The following is a 14,917-nucleotide window of genomic DNA, read 5'->3' on the forward strand; positions in this document are numbered from 1 at the left end:
TAAAATGAGCCTTCCTGTTGCTGCCCTATATTTTTGCTCTAAAAAGTTGTATTTTTCTCAAGAAAACATGATCTTAGTGGCAGAATAATTTTATATTATTTTATATTTGTGACTACACTGCTATTACTATTTTAATTTTAGGCCTGTTGGTGCATAGCAATCTGTGAGGCAATGGGCTGGAATGTTGCTGTACATGCATGTGTGTGTGTGTGTGTACGTGTGTGTGTGTATGTAGGGAGGGAGAAGATTAGAATAACAAGAGGAGGATGAGTACGATGTGATTCAACTGGAAAGGCCTTTAACAAATTTAAAAATTTAAACATTTTTAAAATAAAATAATTTTTTTTTTTGAGATGGAGTTTTGCTCTGTCGCCCAGGCTGGAGTGCAGTGGTGCAATCTTGGCTCACTGCAAGCTCCGCCTCCCGGGTTCATGCCATTCTCCTGCCTCAGCCTCCCAAGTAGCTGGGACTACAGGTGCTCGCCACCACGCCTGGCTAATTTTTAGTGGAGACGGGGTTTCACCATGTTAGCCAGGATGGTCTCGATCTCCTGACCTCGTGATCCGCCCGCCTCGGCCTCCCATAGTGCTGGGATTACAGGCGTAAGCAGCCGTGCCTGGCCAAAGTAAAATAAATATTAAAAAAATTTAAAAACATTAAAACAAAAATTTTAAAAAATTAAAAAGTACAAATAATAAAAAATTAAAAATAGCTTTAAAATAGGCCTGGTGCTGGTGGTTCCCAGCACTTTGGGAGGCTGAGGCAGGTGGATTGCTTGAGCCCTAGAGTTTGAGACCAGCCTGGCCCGCATGACGAAACCCCGTCTTTACTAAAAATACAAAAATTAGCTGGGCGTGGTGGCACACGATTGTAATCCCAGCTACTCAGGAAGCTGAGGCAGGAGGATCACCTGAGCTCAGGCAGGTCGAGGGTGGAGTGAACCGAGATCATGTCACTTCACTCCAGTCTGGGTGACAGTGAGACTCTGTCTCGAAAAAAAAAATTAAAACAATTTTAAAAATTAAAGAGTAATCTAATGAGACATTCTTACAGGCTTATAATGGTGAGATGATTCCACAATTTTGGGCCACTGCACTCCAGCCTAGGAGACAGAGTGAGACCTTGTTTCAATTAAAAAAAAAGAAAAGAAAAGAAAAAGCAAAAAACCCAGGGGCTGGACATGGTGGCTCATGCCTGTAATCCCAGCACTTTGGGAGGCTGAGGTAGGTGGATCACCTGAGGTCAGGAGTTCGAGACCAGCCTGGCCGACATGGTTTATCTTCATGGCCTCAGGCACATTTCTTTTTTCTTTTTGCTTTTTTTTTGAGACAGAGTCTCACTCTATTGCTCAGGCTGAAGTGCAGTGGTAGAATCTCAGCTCACTGCAACTTCTACCTCCCAGGTTCAAGCGATTCTCTTGCCTCAGCCTCCTGAGTAGTGAGATTACAGGCATGTACCACCACGCCCAGCTAATTTTTGTATTTTTAGTAGAGATGGGGTTTCACCATGTTGGTCAAGCTGGTTTGAACTCCTGACCTTAGGTGATCCACCTGCCTCAGCCTCCTAAAGCGCTGGGATTACAAGCGTGAGCCACTGCACCCAGCCTCCTCGGGCAAATTTCTGAGTCGGCTTTGTCGTCTGTAAAATGGGAATAAAAAGAGTACCTACTTCACAGGGTTGTTGTGATGATTACTCAAAATAAAATATTTGTGAAAGATCATGACAATAGTAGCACAACTAACTCATCACAATGCCTGGCATGTAAATGTTACTTGTTAACTAAAAATAAATAGGTCTTTGAGAAGGTTAAATGGGACGTACAGAATAAACACATCCATGGCAGTGCCAGGTACATGTGTAGAAATAGAATATATGATCTCTTTGGAGCAGAAGATTTTGGGGTTTTCTTTTTTTGAGTCAGAGTCTCACTCTGTTGTCCAGGCTGGAATGCAGTGGCCCAATCACGGCAGCTCACTGTAGCCTCCAACTCCTGGGCTCAGGTAATCCTTCTGCCTCAGCCTCCCAAGTAGCTGGATCCTTGGCCTCGCAAAGTGCTGGGATTACAGGCATGAGACACCACTCCTGGCCAGAGCGGTGGTTTTCAATGGCTGCTCATTAGAATGATTGGAATCACTAATGTGATTCCAGCCTACTCCCTGGAACCTATGTACATGTTAAGTTACATGGCAGAGGAGACTCCAGTTAGTAGATGGAATTAAGGTTCCTCATCATCTGACCTTAAAAGAGATAGGATATCCTGAATTATCAAGGTGGGCCCTTAAATGTGGAAGATGGAGGCAGAAGAGTCAGTTTCACAGAGATGGAACCAGCTCTTGCTGCCTTTGAAGATAGAGGGAAGGGGCCAGGCGCTAGGGACTCTTGTCTCTAAAAATAAATAAATTAAAAAAAATAAACTTACATTGTTTTAAGCCACCAACATTGTGGTAATTTTTACAGCAGCAGTGGGCAACGCAGCCACATTTATGAACCACTGCAGGAGGGGTTCTGCTGCCTCTTGGCCATCGTTTGCCAAAATCTTTTCTCCGTTCCTTCCTGAGAGGCAAAGGCTAGTCCCAGCTGTTTCCAGTCTTCTTGATCAGAATTTTTCCCTTTACTTAAGAGATTCACCCTGCTTTAGTTGTAATTTGTGTCTTTTTTTTTTAAGAGACAGGATCTCCCTCTGTTGTTCAGGCTGGAGTGCAGTGGCACAATCATAGTTCACTGTAACCTCAAACTCCTGGGCTCCAGTGAACCTCCCATCTCAGTCTCCCCAGTAGCTGGGACTACAGGTGTGTGCCACCACACTGGGCTAATGTTTAAATTTTGTTTTCCAACTGGTCTTCTGACACAGGAGAATTTTTTTATCTTTTGTGGAGATGGGGTCTTCCTATGTGGCCCAGGCTGGTCCCCCTGCCTCCTTTTTTTTGAGGCAGGGTCTCTCTCTGTCTTCCAGACTGGTTTGCAATGGTGTGATCACAGCTCACTGCAGCCACAAACTCCTGGGATCAAGTGATCCTCCCACCTCAGCCTCTCAACTAACTAGAATTACAAGTGCGTGCCACCATGCCCGGTTAATTTTTAAATATTTTGTAGAGATGGTGGGGGAGGGGGTCTCACTATGTTGCCCAGGCTGGTCTCGAACTCCTGGGCTGAAGTGATCCTCGGCTTTGACCTCCCAAAGACGAGATTACAGGCATGAACCACCACACCCAGCCCTCAGGCTGGTCTTGAACTCCTGGCCTCAAGCCGTCCTCTATCCTTGGCCTTCCAGGCATGAGCCACCATGCCCAGCCCTCAGGCTGGTCTCGAACTCCTGGCCTCAAGCCATCCTCTGTCCTTGACTTCCCAATCCCCTGGGATTACAGGCATGAGCCAGCATGCCCAGCCTGATTTTTGTCTTTATGATCAGATCCTTATTGTTGCTATGCAATTTAAAACTTAGAAAACCATAGTTTTAAGTAACAAAGTTTTATTATATTAGCCCAAGGATGCTAATGACAAGCTCAAAATTATTTGTCAGTTGGTTTAAAAATACATGAAAAGAGTTAAGCATTTATATCCTGTATAATAAAAAAGGAAAAATAATAATACACATTTAATCAGACAGTTTTATGAAGGCCATAAGTTGTTTGTTTGGATGAACCTGGGAGGCTGAGGGGGCTCAGGCCCCTCAGAGAAGGGGCAGAAAGTAGGGATGGAAGACCCTGGCAGTCATCTCTAAGGGAAGGGAAGCCCCTAAAGGGGCCAGCCCTAGCAAAGAAATAGCAGGAAGAGCCTTGGTTCCCTCTCACCTCTTCAACCACTCTCCACTGACCAAGCCCACACCCCTTATTCTGTGGACATTTTCCCACTAAAATATTTCACTTGGCACTTTGGGAGGCTGAGGTGAGTGAGTTACTTGAGGTCAGGAGTTCAAGACCAGCTTGGCAAATATGGTGAAACCCCGTCCCTACTAAAAATACGAAAAATTAGCTGGGCGTGATGGTACATGCTTGTACTCCCAGCTACTGGGGAGGCTGAGGCAGGATAATTGCTCGAACCCGGGAGGTGGAGGTTGCAGTGAGCCAAAATCGCACCACTGCACTACAGCCTGGGCAACAGAATGAGACTCCGTCTCAAAAAAAAAAAAAAAAAGAAAGAAAATATTTTCATATGTACCATCTGCACAATAGAACACTTTGCATTAATTAGAGAGGTGGCACTACTGTGATGACATAAGAAAATGTGCTGGCTGTACAGGTAAATGGGAAAAAAACAAGTTGCAAAATAAAATGTACTCAGTGACCCCATTTTAACAAAGACAAATGTTAGTGTATGTCTAGAAAATAAAAATTTGGGAGAAATGCATCAAATCTTGAAAGAAGTTATCTGTGGAGATGAGACTAGAGAACATGCTTATTTTACATATTTCATATTTCCTTAATGATTGACATTGTATGCCTTATTGCTTTCATAATCAGAAAAAATAATTGTATAATTAATGGTAAAAACTGCCAACCAAGGCTGGGCACGGTGGCTCATGCCTGTAATCCCAGCCCTTTGGGAGGCCGAGGCAGGAGGATCACCTGAGGTCAGGAGTTTGAGACCAGACTGACCAACATGGAGAAACCCCATCTCTATTAAAAACACAAAATTAGCCGGGTGTGGTGACGCATGCCTGTAATGACAGCTACTCGGGAGGCTGAGGCAGGTGAATTGCTTCAACCCAGGAGGCGGAGGTTACATTGAGCTGAGATGGCACCATTGCACTCCAGCCTGGACAACAAGAGCGAAACTCTGTCTCAAAAAAACAAACAAAAACAACAACAACAACAATAAAACAAACAAAACTGCCAACCAAGTCTTTTTTCTTCTTCTATTTTTTAATTGAAATAGAGACAGAGTCTTGCTTTGTTGGCCAGGTTGGTCTTGAGCTCTCGGCCTCAAGTAATCCTCTCACCTTGGCCTCCCAAAGTGCTAAGATTACTGGTAATCATGCCTGGCCTAATCCAGTCTTTCCCCCTACTTTTCCCTAGACATTTAGAATATGGTGATATATAGTGATAGGGTTATAAAAGTCAGTCATTTTAAATTGTATCCCTAAATAAATGCCTGTAATCAAGACCATCTTGTGCTGGGTGCAGTGGTACATGCCTGTAGTCCTAGCTACTCAGGAAGCTGAGGTGGGAGGATCACTTAAGCCCAGGAGTTTGAGGTTATGGTGAGCTATGACCACCACTGCACTCCAGCTTGGGCAACAGAGTAAGACCTGTCTCTTAAAAAAAATCTTCTCTCAGCAGATCAGCCATCAAAATTATTGTTAGCCTGATGAAATATAGGTGGGCATACAATGTTAGAAGCCACCCTGACCTCTGCAGGGACTCCAAGTCCTCATAAGCACAAACAGTTCTAGCCTGCCATTGACAGTTTAAAGAGGGTGTCCTTTTGTCCCTCCTACATTTCTCTGTTTATTCATATCCTTCACATTTTTCTTTCTTTTGACCTATTTCATTCCTAAAATATTCTAACATCTGACTTCTCTCCCAATTACAATAGTAACAATACATCATGGGTTTTCCAGTGTAGTTACTTTTTAGTATATATTTTTTCAATAATGGCTATTCATTAAATATATATGATTTGTTTTGGGGCCACTGAAAGACTTCATATAGGTAAGTTCATATCATACTGTGATAAAGTTTTTGGTTTTTGGTAATGAAAACATGGATTTTGCACTGATTGCTCTGCGGAATTTCTCTCTGGATGATGCTTGATGACCTTCACATGGCCTCTTAGTCTTTTTTTCAATTTACCTCCTTTGCAGCCTTTAAAACTGTGAATCAAGTCTTCCTGTTTCAAATCTCCTTCCTTAGTTTTCATGAATCTACACTGTCCTTCCTCTGTAAATGCTTCTTTGGCCCTCCATATCCTTGGGTTCTGCATCTGTGGATTCAACCAACAGCAGATGGAAAATATTCCAGAAAAGGAAAAATATCTGGCTTTGTCTGTACCTATTAGGTGTAGACTTTTTTTGTTGTCATTATTGTCTAATCAATACAGTATAACAACTATTTATATAGCATTTACAATGTGTTAGGTATTATACATAATCTGGAGAGGTTTTAAAGTGTACAGGAGAATATGTGGCAGGTTACATGCAAATACTACACCTTTTTTTTTTTTTTTTTTTGAGACAGAGTCTCACTCTGTCACCCAGGCTGGAGTGCAGTGGCGCGATCTTGGCTCACTGCAACCTCCACCTCCTGGGTTCATGCAACTCTCCCATCTCAGCCTCCTGAGTAGCTGGTACTACAGGCGCATGCCACCACGCCCAGCTAATTTTTGTGTTTTTAGTAGAGACGGGGTTTCACCATGTTGTCTGCCTTTTTTATTATAATCATCCTGGCTGGTGCAAAGTGGGATGTCATTGTGGTTTGGATTTACATTTCCCTGACAGTTAATGATTTGAGCATCTTTTCATGTACTTACTGCCCAACTGTCCATTTCTTTTGGGAAGACGTACAGATCCTTTACTCATTTTTTTTTTTTTTTTTTGAGACGGACTCTCACTCTGTCGCCCAGGCTGCAGTGCAGTGGCATGATCTCGGCTCACTGCAAGCTCCACCTCCCGGGTTCATGCCATTCTCCTGCCTCAGCCTCCCGAGTAGCTGGGACTACAGGCGCCCACCACCACGCCTGGTTAATTTTTTTTTTTTTTTTTTGAGATAGAGTCTCACTCTGTCACCCAGGCTGGAGTGCAGTGGCGCGATCTTGGCTCACTGCAAGCTCTGCCTCCTGGGTTCATGCCATTCTCCTGCCGCAGTCTCCTGAGTAGCTGGGACTACAGGCGCATGCCACCATACCCGGCTAATTTTTTTTTTTATTTTTAGTAGAGACGGGGTTTCACCGTGTTAGCCAGGATGGTCTCGATCTCCTGACCTCGTGATCTGCCCGCCTTGGCCTCCCAAAGTGCTGGAATTACAGGCATGAGCCACCGCGCCCGGCCCCTTTACTCATTTTTTAAATTGGGTATTTATATTCTTTTTATTGGGTTGAAAGAATTCTCTACACATTCCGGATACATTTTATCAGATATATGATTTGCAAATATTTTTCCAATTCTGAGTTGTTATTCTAATCTGTTGGTATCAATTGCAGCAAGTGTTTTTATATTTGGTGTTCATCTATTTTTCTTTTGTGACTTGTCACATCAACAAGGCTTTGTGTAACCCAAAGTCGTGAAGATTTACCCTTAGATATTCCTCTTAGAGTTTTATAGTTTTAATTCTTATATTTAGGTGTTTGTTACATTTCGAGTTTAACTTTTGTATATCGCATAAAGGAGGGGTCAATATTTACTTGTCCCAAAACCATTTGTTGAAGAGACTATTCTTTCCCATTTGAATTGTCTTGGAACTTTTGCCAAACATCAACTGACTACAAAACACAAGGGTTTATTTCTGGACTTTTATTTCGCTTATCTTTATGCCTGTCTTATAATTGTAGTTTTGCCCTAAGTTTTGATATCCGAGTGAGTACTCCAAATATGTTATTTATCAAGATTATTTTGGCTACTCTGGGTCCACATAAATTTTAAGATCAACTTGTCAATTTTTGCAAAAAGGTATCTGGGAGTGGAGGTTTTTGTTTTTTTGAATTTGTTGAATTTGCAGATTAACTTGGCAGGGGCAGTATTACAATCTTAAGACTTAGTATCAAGTCCTCTGACTCATAAAATAAAGCTTTGCATTTCTTTTTCTTTTTTTTTTTTTTTTGTTTTAAACTTAAGAACACTGAAAAATGAAAAAACAAAAACAAAAACAAAAAACAAAATAGAGACAAGGTCTTGTTCTGTTGCCCATGCTGGAGTATAGTGGTGCAATCATAGCTCACTGTAGCCTCAAACTCCTGGGCTCAAGTGATCCTCTTGCCTCAGCCTCTCAAGTAGTTATGAGGTGGATGCCACCACACCTGGCTAATTTTTAAAAATTTTTTGTAGAGATGGGGTCTCACTATATTGCCCAGGCTGGTTTTGAACTCCTGGCCTCAAGCACTCCTGCCTCAAGCTCCAAAGCGCTGGGATTACAGGAGTGAGCCACAGCATTGGGCCAATGGGTTTTCTTATACACAATGAGTAGTTTTTTTTTCTGTTTTCAAGATTTTTTTCTTTCATTGTTTTCACTATAGTTTTGGTATGCATCTTTCTATGTTATCTTACAACTTGATCTTGGATTAATGTTTTCATCAAATATTTGATTTTCAGGCATCATTTCTTCCAATAATTTGCTGATTCTTTCTACTGTGAACACAATCTACTGTAGAGCTCCTCTAATGAATTTTTCATTACAGTTACTTTACTTTTGAACTCTAGAATTTCTATTTGGCCCTTTTATTTATTTTATTTTATATATTTTTTGAGATGGAGTCTCACTCTGTCGCCCAGGCTGGAGTGCAGTGGCGCAATCTCGGCTCACTGCAAGCTCCGCCTCCCGGGTTCACGCCATTCTCCTGCCTCAGCCTCCCCAGTAGGTGGGACTACAGGCGCCCGCCACCACGCCCGGCTAATTTTTTGTATTTTTAGTAGAGACGGGGTTTCACGGTGTTAGCCAGGACGGTCTCGATCTCCCGACCTCGTGATCCGCCCGCCTTGGCCTCCCAAAGTGCTGGGATTACAGGCGTGAGCTACCGCGCCCAGCCTATTTGGCCCTTTTAAATTCCTTTCTTTGTTGATATTCTGTTTGATGGAATATTGTAAGCATACCTTCCTTTACTTCCAGCAGTTTCCTTTAGTTTTTTTTGGAACACACTTATAATAATGCTTTGAAGTTTTTATCTGCTTCCAACCTATTGACCCTCTCAGTTTCCTTTGATTGCTTTTTCGCTCCTTGTATGGATTAGTTTCCTGTTCTTCTGTATGTCTTGTAGTTTGTTGTTGAGGACTGGATATTTTAGACACTGTGTCACAGCAGCTCTGGATAGTAATTTCCCTCCAACCCCTACCCTCTGCCCTCCAGCGCATTTCTTCTTGTTTAGTTTCTTGGCTGGATGATTTCAGTTAAGTCCACTTACCCTGAAGTATGCAGGCTCTGATGTCCCTCCTCAGAGTACAGTCTGGGCGTGTGCAGTCACCATGACTACTCCCTCTAGCCCCAAGGACAGTGGTTTTGATAGGGCTCTCTTTTACCTTTTCCTGATCTTTCGGGAAAGGTTCTAGTTAGTTAGAACCTCTTTTGTTATCACATCCTACTATTAGCACCCACTAATTTACTAGCTAACCACTCATTTTTTTTTTCATTTTTTATAGAGACAGGGTCTCACTATGTTGCCGAGGCTGGTCTTGTACTCCTGGCTTCAAGTGGTCCTCCCGCCTCCGCATCCCAAAGTACTGGTATTACAGGCATGAGCCACCACACCTGGCCACTCTTTTGTTTCTGACAATGCTCTGGGGCACAAGTCGCCGCAGTTTAATCCAGTTAAATTCAGGCCCCTGTAGAGTATCTTTGAGGCTTGTCTTAAACCTAGGACTAATAACAGCTGCCTCTATTTTTTTGAGACAGGGTCTCACTCCGTCACCCAGGCTGGGGTGGAGTGGTGTGATCTTGGCCCACTACAACCTCTGCCTCTCGCGTTCAAGCGATTCCCATGACTCAGCCTCCTGAATAGCTGGAATTACAGGCACGTGCCATGATGCCTGGCTAATTTTTAAACTTTTAGTAGAGACAGGGTTTCAGCATGTTGGCCAGGCTGGTCTTGAACTCCTAACCTCAAGTGATCTGCCCGCCTTGGCCTCCCCAAGTGCTGGGATTACAGGTGTGAGCCACCGTGCCAGGCTCTTTCTGTTGAGCTTGTTGGCATTCCCTTTTGCTTGTTGCCATCAGGGAGCTGTCAATACGCTCTTAATTGCTCCCCTCCCCAGATCCAACGTATTTGGTGGCACCTTTACACTTCAACATCTTCCCTCATTCTATTCTAGTCAGTCCCTTTATTAAATATTTTTAGTAGAGACGGGGTTTCACCAAGTTAGCGAGAATGGTCTTGATCTCTTGACCTTGTGATCCACCCACCTCGGCCTCCCAAAGTGCTGGGATTATAGGCGTGAGGCACCGTGCCCGGCCCAGAGCTGTTTTTATGACTTGCCATTTCCACTGGACAGAACCTCTGTTCTGCTGCTCCAGAGCTACGGGTGGGGACAGTGGCCTGCTTTTCTAGGAGTTATACTCACAGTCTACAAGGGGGAAAGGGGTGATATAACCCCTGGTCTCCTCCAAGTGCATCTCCTTGCATGGAACCTTCACTCTACGTACGAGTAAAGAGCCTTCATCCTATGAGTAAGCTGGGGCAAAAGCAACTAAGGCCCAGTATTCTCAGTCTGATATTCCTGGGTTAGAGTTTCTGTGCTGTAAGTGGGGACTAGGTGGAGGAAGGAGTGCCAAACCTCTTGGCTACTCTTGCTTGCAAAAGGGCTTCTGCAACACAGAGCTTCAGGGAATGAGGCATGCTAATAATCTACTCTTCCAGAGGAGAAACTGTAGTCCAGGATTGGGAACTGGAGAGAGGGAATGGGGTCATGGCTCCAATGCCACAGACTCCCTATTCTAAAAGATTGACTTTCTTGAAAAACTGTTTTTGTTGGATGTATGCTTTTATGACAATTTCCACATAAACTTCCAGTTACAGGTATTTTATTGAGCAGAGACAGTGAAGTTCCTTATGCTGTTATTTCAAAAGTGTTTCCTGGTTTCTTTTTAATGAATGTCTTAAAATACAAGCAATCAGGACCCTTTAAATAAGGCAGTATGTTCACAAATCAAAATAGCTTTCTGCTGGCATCAGTTGATTCAACATCAACATGCAGTGTCCAGAATGAATAAGCAGTTCTTTAATGGTTATTTAAATATATTCCAGAAGAGCGTTTATAATTCATTTACAAGTGCAGTATTGCGCTAGTAAATGTTACTTGACCTCTTGTATAAATAATGCCGATTAAGAATTAGTCCTGGAATAGTTTTCGAATTTCTAACTCTGTAGATCTAAAACACAATTGTAAATGGTATAAAGATGTAAGAATCATATTGTGATAAAGTCAATCTCAAAAATAGAGAATCCAGACCCTTCCCAGATAATTTAAGAACTGAGTTTTCCTCAACTTAAACATGATGGCCACACAGAAAACAGTAAAGACACTTTTCGATGTGATACAACTGTATAAAACTCGAGAATATGAGTATTTAGGTGACCAATGTATAGACATTAATAGAATTTTAAAAACACATTTAAATCTGAAGCAGAAAAAAAAAGACAATTTACAAAGAATTATTGAGCTCTAATCATCATCAGAGTCTGAATCATATTTCTTTCCTCGGATAGTTTTCTTTTCCAGCTTTGTGAAGTTTGTTCCAAATTTCTTTTGGTTCTGAAATGGTGGCTCCATTAAATTTCCACTTAAAAAAAAAAAAAAGCATTTTATTCTTTATGATTTAGTACTAGTATACTAAACTGCACAAAAATCTATCTTTGTTTTCTTCCTGTAACATAGAATAAAATTTCTTTAAAATGCTGGTGTCAGGGAAGAGGTATAATGCTTATATTGATATTGATGGTTAATAGCCTTAAACCTTATTGTGTCCTACTGAATGTTTTAGATCAATTTTATTTTCCTTTCTTTTTGAGACAGGGTCTCACTCTGTGGCCCAGGCTGATGTGCAGTGGTGTGATCACAGCTCACTGCAACCTCCAGTTCCTGGGCTCAAGCGATCCTCCCACCTCAGCCTCCCGAGTAGCTTGGACTACAGGCGTGTGCCACCATGCTCAGTTAATTTTTACATTTTTTGTAGTGATGACATCTCACTACATTGCCCAGGCTTGTCTTGAACTCTTAGGCTCAAGCAATCCTCCTGCTTTGGCATCCCAAAGTGCTGGGATTATAGGTATGAGCCACTGCACCAGACCTATTTTCCTTTTTATCATTAATTATGGATTAACATTTGGTTAACACAGTGCTCAGTTGTCACCGGAAATGAGAGAAACCATCACACACCTCCCGATATGATGCATCACTTCCATAATATGCCCGTCAAAAATCGATAATCTGAATCTAATCTTGAGGAAATTTAAGACAAACCCAAACTGGGAGATGTTCTCCAAAATAAACAGTTTGTACTCTTCAAAAACATCAGTCTTAAGAACCAAAGAATAACAATGGTAACTAAAGACGTAATAACTAAATGTGCTGCATTTTTGGTATGAAGGACAATTATTGGGACAATGAGAAAACTTGAAATAAGAGCGGTAAATTACACAATAATTCCTGTTTCAATAATTGTACTGTCGCTACGTAAGAAAATGTTCTTGTTCTTAGAAAATATATATGGAAGTCTTTAGGAGTAAAGGGACACTGTATTCACAATTTCCACTCAAATGGTTCCCAAAATACTTCATAGTATCTATAAAGACAATGATAAAACAAATATAAAATGTTTAAAATTGGGTAATATGGGCAAAGGGTCAATGAGGATTCGTTGTACTAGTCTGCAGGGGGTTGTTTCTACTAGTTTTTTGTAGAGACGAGGTCTCATCTCACTATATGTTGCCCAAATTGGTCTCAAACTCCTGGCCTCAACTGATTCTCCCACCTCAGCCTCTCAAAGTCTGTAATCTTCTGAGATTACACAAGTGCCCCACCCGGCTGCAATTTGTTTAAGGCTTAAAATTACTTCAAAATATATAACTTTATTTAATAAATATTAATATTTTATGTTAATATTAAGGAAATGAAACCAATTTCTACAACATAGGAATGATTTCGGCATGTCTAGGAGAGTCAGAGAAAAGACGGGAGGGAAATGGGGGAGAAAGAAAAACGTGAGAGAACCTTCTACTTCCTGAAAGGCACCATGACTCTGGAATGGTAAGTGCACAATTTTACCTGTTACTTTTGCAAATCAAGAAAAGGCAAAAAAGACAAGATGATATGCTCTGATTTGTGGAATTAGATAAATTATTTGTCTGAAGAAGTGGACAAAGAAATGGAAGTTGGATTTTAGATTGTTTTCAAACTAAAACTGTTCTTCATAGCAAGCAATGTAAGCTAGGCATAGAAACCTTTTTCTATTCATCAGCCTCTATAAGTAAAACAGAAATATCCATGTTAAAAATCTAGTATTTTAAAATATAACTTTCTTTGCAAGAGTCTGCTTTTAATTTTTATTTTATCAAAGAGAATCACTTAAGTCAGAATTCATTTGAGCAATCTGGCTTAAATTGGGGAATAGTCAACACTGGATTGCCATTTTAAGTTTCCAGATTAATACAAAATTAGTGTCAATAGTATACGTTAAGCTGAAAACTTTTATAGTCAGGAGTACGGTGAGACTCAGTTTTACCTATTAAATCAGTTTAATCTGTAAATCTGATTTTGCCGTAAAATCACGCTAATATTACACACTTCAAAAAAACATGCTTTTCCTTTGAGAAACTTTCCACATCTCAGCCAAAATGCCTTAATTTCATAAAATAAATGTTACAATACAAAAATCTTTTGTAAAAATATCAACTATATATGAATTAAAATCAATCTCTTCTTTTGTTAAAAGTTACCTGTAATTAAGAATGTCAGAAGAACCGAGCCTCCATTCTAAAGTTTCTGTGGTGAAGTCATCTGTATTTCCTAGGTCAGTAAACCCAACAACATAATCTTGTGTTTTCCCATCTTTTAGCAGTGCTAGTGTGGGAATGACTTTGATATGCAGTCTCTCACAAAGGAAAGGTGCTTTTTCCACATTCAGCTTCAAAAATTTGGTCTCGAGGTGTTTCTTGGACAATATTGCCAGATGTCTGTCTAGTATTTTACACCTGTAAGTGACCACACATAGAAAATTATAAGCTAAAACCACAGATCGCTTTTTTCAAAATAAATATCATCAAGGGAAATCTAATTATGTAGTTTTTCTGTTGACTCTCATAACATGGCAGCCAACTTAAACTTGTGTCAGATGACCTCACTTCCAGATCAGAGGTTAGCTGCCTGATTACGAGATGGGAAAACAGCCTATAAGATTCTAGAAAGTCAGATTTGCATTAATGATATTCTCTTTTAAAATATTAAATATATGCTTTAAGTCATAAAGGAAGTTGTCCTATCTCCTACACAGGAAACTTGAAGAGGAACAAACTGAAACTTGACAAAACTCGGAAGAGACTTACAAGAATCAGAAGTGCACACATGGTGCCATATTTGGAAGTCATGAAGAAAAACTGAACAGCATTACCGAGGAAAAACTTCTTACTCCTAAATATGCAACGCTGTCAGTAAGAAGCACATTAAGGCTAAGGGTTACTAATAATATTTAAATAAATGTGGCCATTATGCTTCTAGGAAATTAAAAAATACCAGTAGTAACTTTTTTATTTTTTATTTTTTTGGAGGTGGCGTATTGCCCTGTCCCCCAGGCTGGAGTGCAGTGGCACAAGCTCGGCTCACTGCAAGCTCCGCCTCCCTGGTTCATGCCATTCTCCTGCCTCAGCCTCCCAAGTAGCTGGGACTACAGGCGCCTGCCACCATGCCCGGCTAATTTTTTGTATTTTTAGTAGAGACGGGGTTTCACTGTGTTAGCCAGGATGGTCTTGATCTCCTGACCTTGTGATCCGCCTGCCTCGGCCTCCCGAAGTGCTAGGATTACAAGCGTGAGCCACTGCACCCAGCCTACCAGTAGTAACTTTTATTAAGCCATCTTCCAATGAAGACGGAAACAGAAGTGAGATTTTCTTGGCCAGGTGCGGTGGCTCACATCTGTAATCTTGGCACTTTGGGAGGCTGAGGCAGGCGGATCACTTGAAGTCAGTAGTTTGAGACCAGCTTAGCCAACACGGTGAAACCCTGTCTCTACTAAAAATACAAAAATTAGCTGGGTGTGGTGGTGCATGCCTGTAGTCCCAGCTA

At 41.3% G+C, this 14,917-nt stretch overlaps 1 protein-coding gene and 1 long non-coding RNA gene across 4 annotated transcripts in view; one reads left to right on the forward strand and one right to left on the reverse strand.

Moving 5' to 3' along the window:
* The window catches only part of LOC107985923 (uncharacterized), a 35,693-nt gene extending 22,289 nt beyond the window's left edge, over positions 1–13,404 (forward strand). For both annotated transcript variants that reach the window (XR_007087152.1, XR_007087151.1), the window contains exon 2: positions 12,747–13,404. This is a non-coding gene — a long non-coding RNA (uncharacterized LOC107985923). The remainder of the gene's footprint in view (positions 1–12,746) is intronic.
* TXNDC9 (thioredoxin domain containing 9) overlaps positions 1–14,917 on the reverse strand; it is a 30,150-nt gene that overhangs the window by 2,196 nt on the left and 13,037 nt on the right. The window contains exons 4-5 of one of the 2 annotated variants that reach the window (NM_005783.4): positions 13,576–13,830; positions 10,603–11,420 (exon numbers count right to left, since the gene is read on the reverse strand). In NM_005783.4, coding sequence (NP_005774.2) covers positions 11,303–11,420; positions 13,576–13,830 — 373 coding nt within the window. In that variant the 3' untranslated portion in view covers positions 10,603–11,302. Of the gene's footprint in view, positions 1–10,602; positions 11,421–13,575; positions 13,831–14,917 lie in introns of those variants that run through there. The other variant, XM_017003147.3, reaches the window with a different exon arrangement.

This window comes from Homo sapiens, chromosome 2, assembly GCF_000001405.40.
Source record: "Homo sapiens chromosome 2, GRCh38.p14 Primary Assembly".
Taxonomy (NCBI): Eukaryota; Metazoa; Chordata; class Mammalia; order Primates; family Hominidae; genus Homo; species Homo sapiens.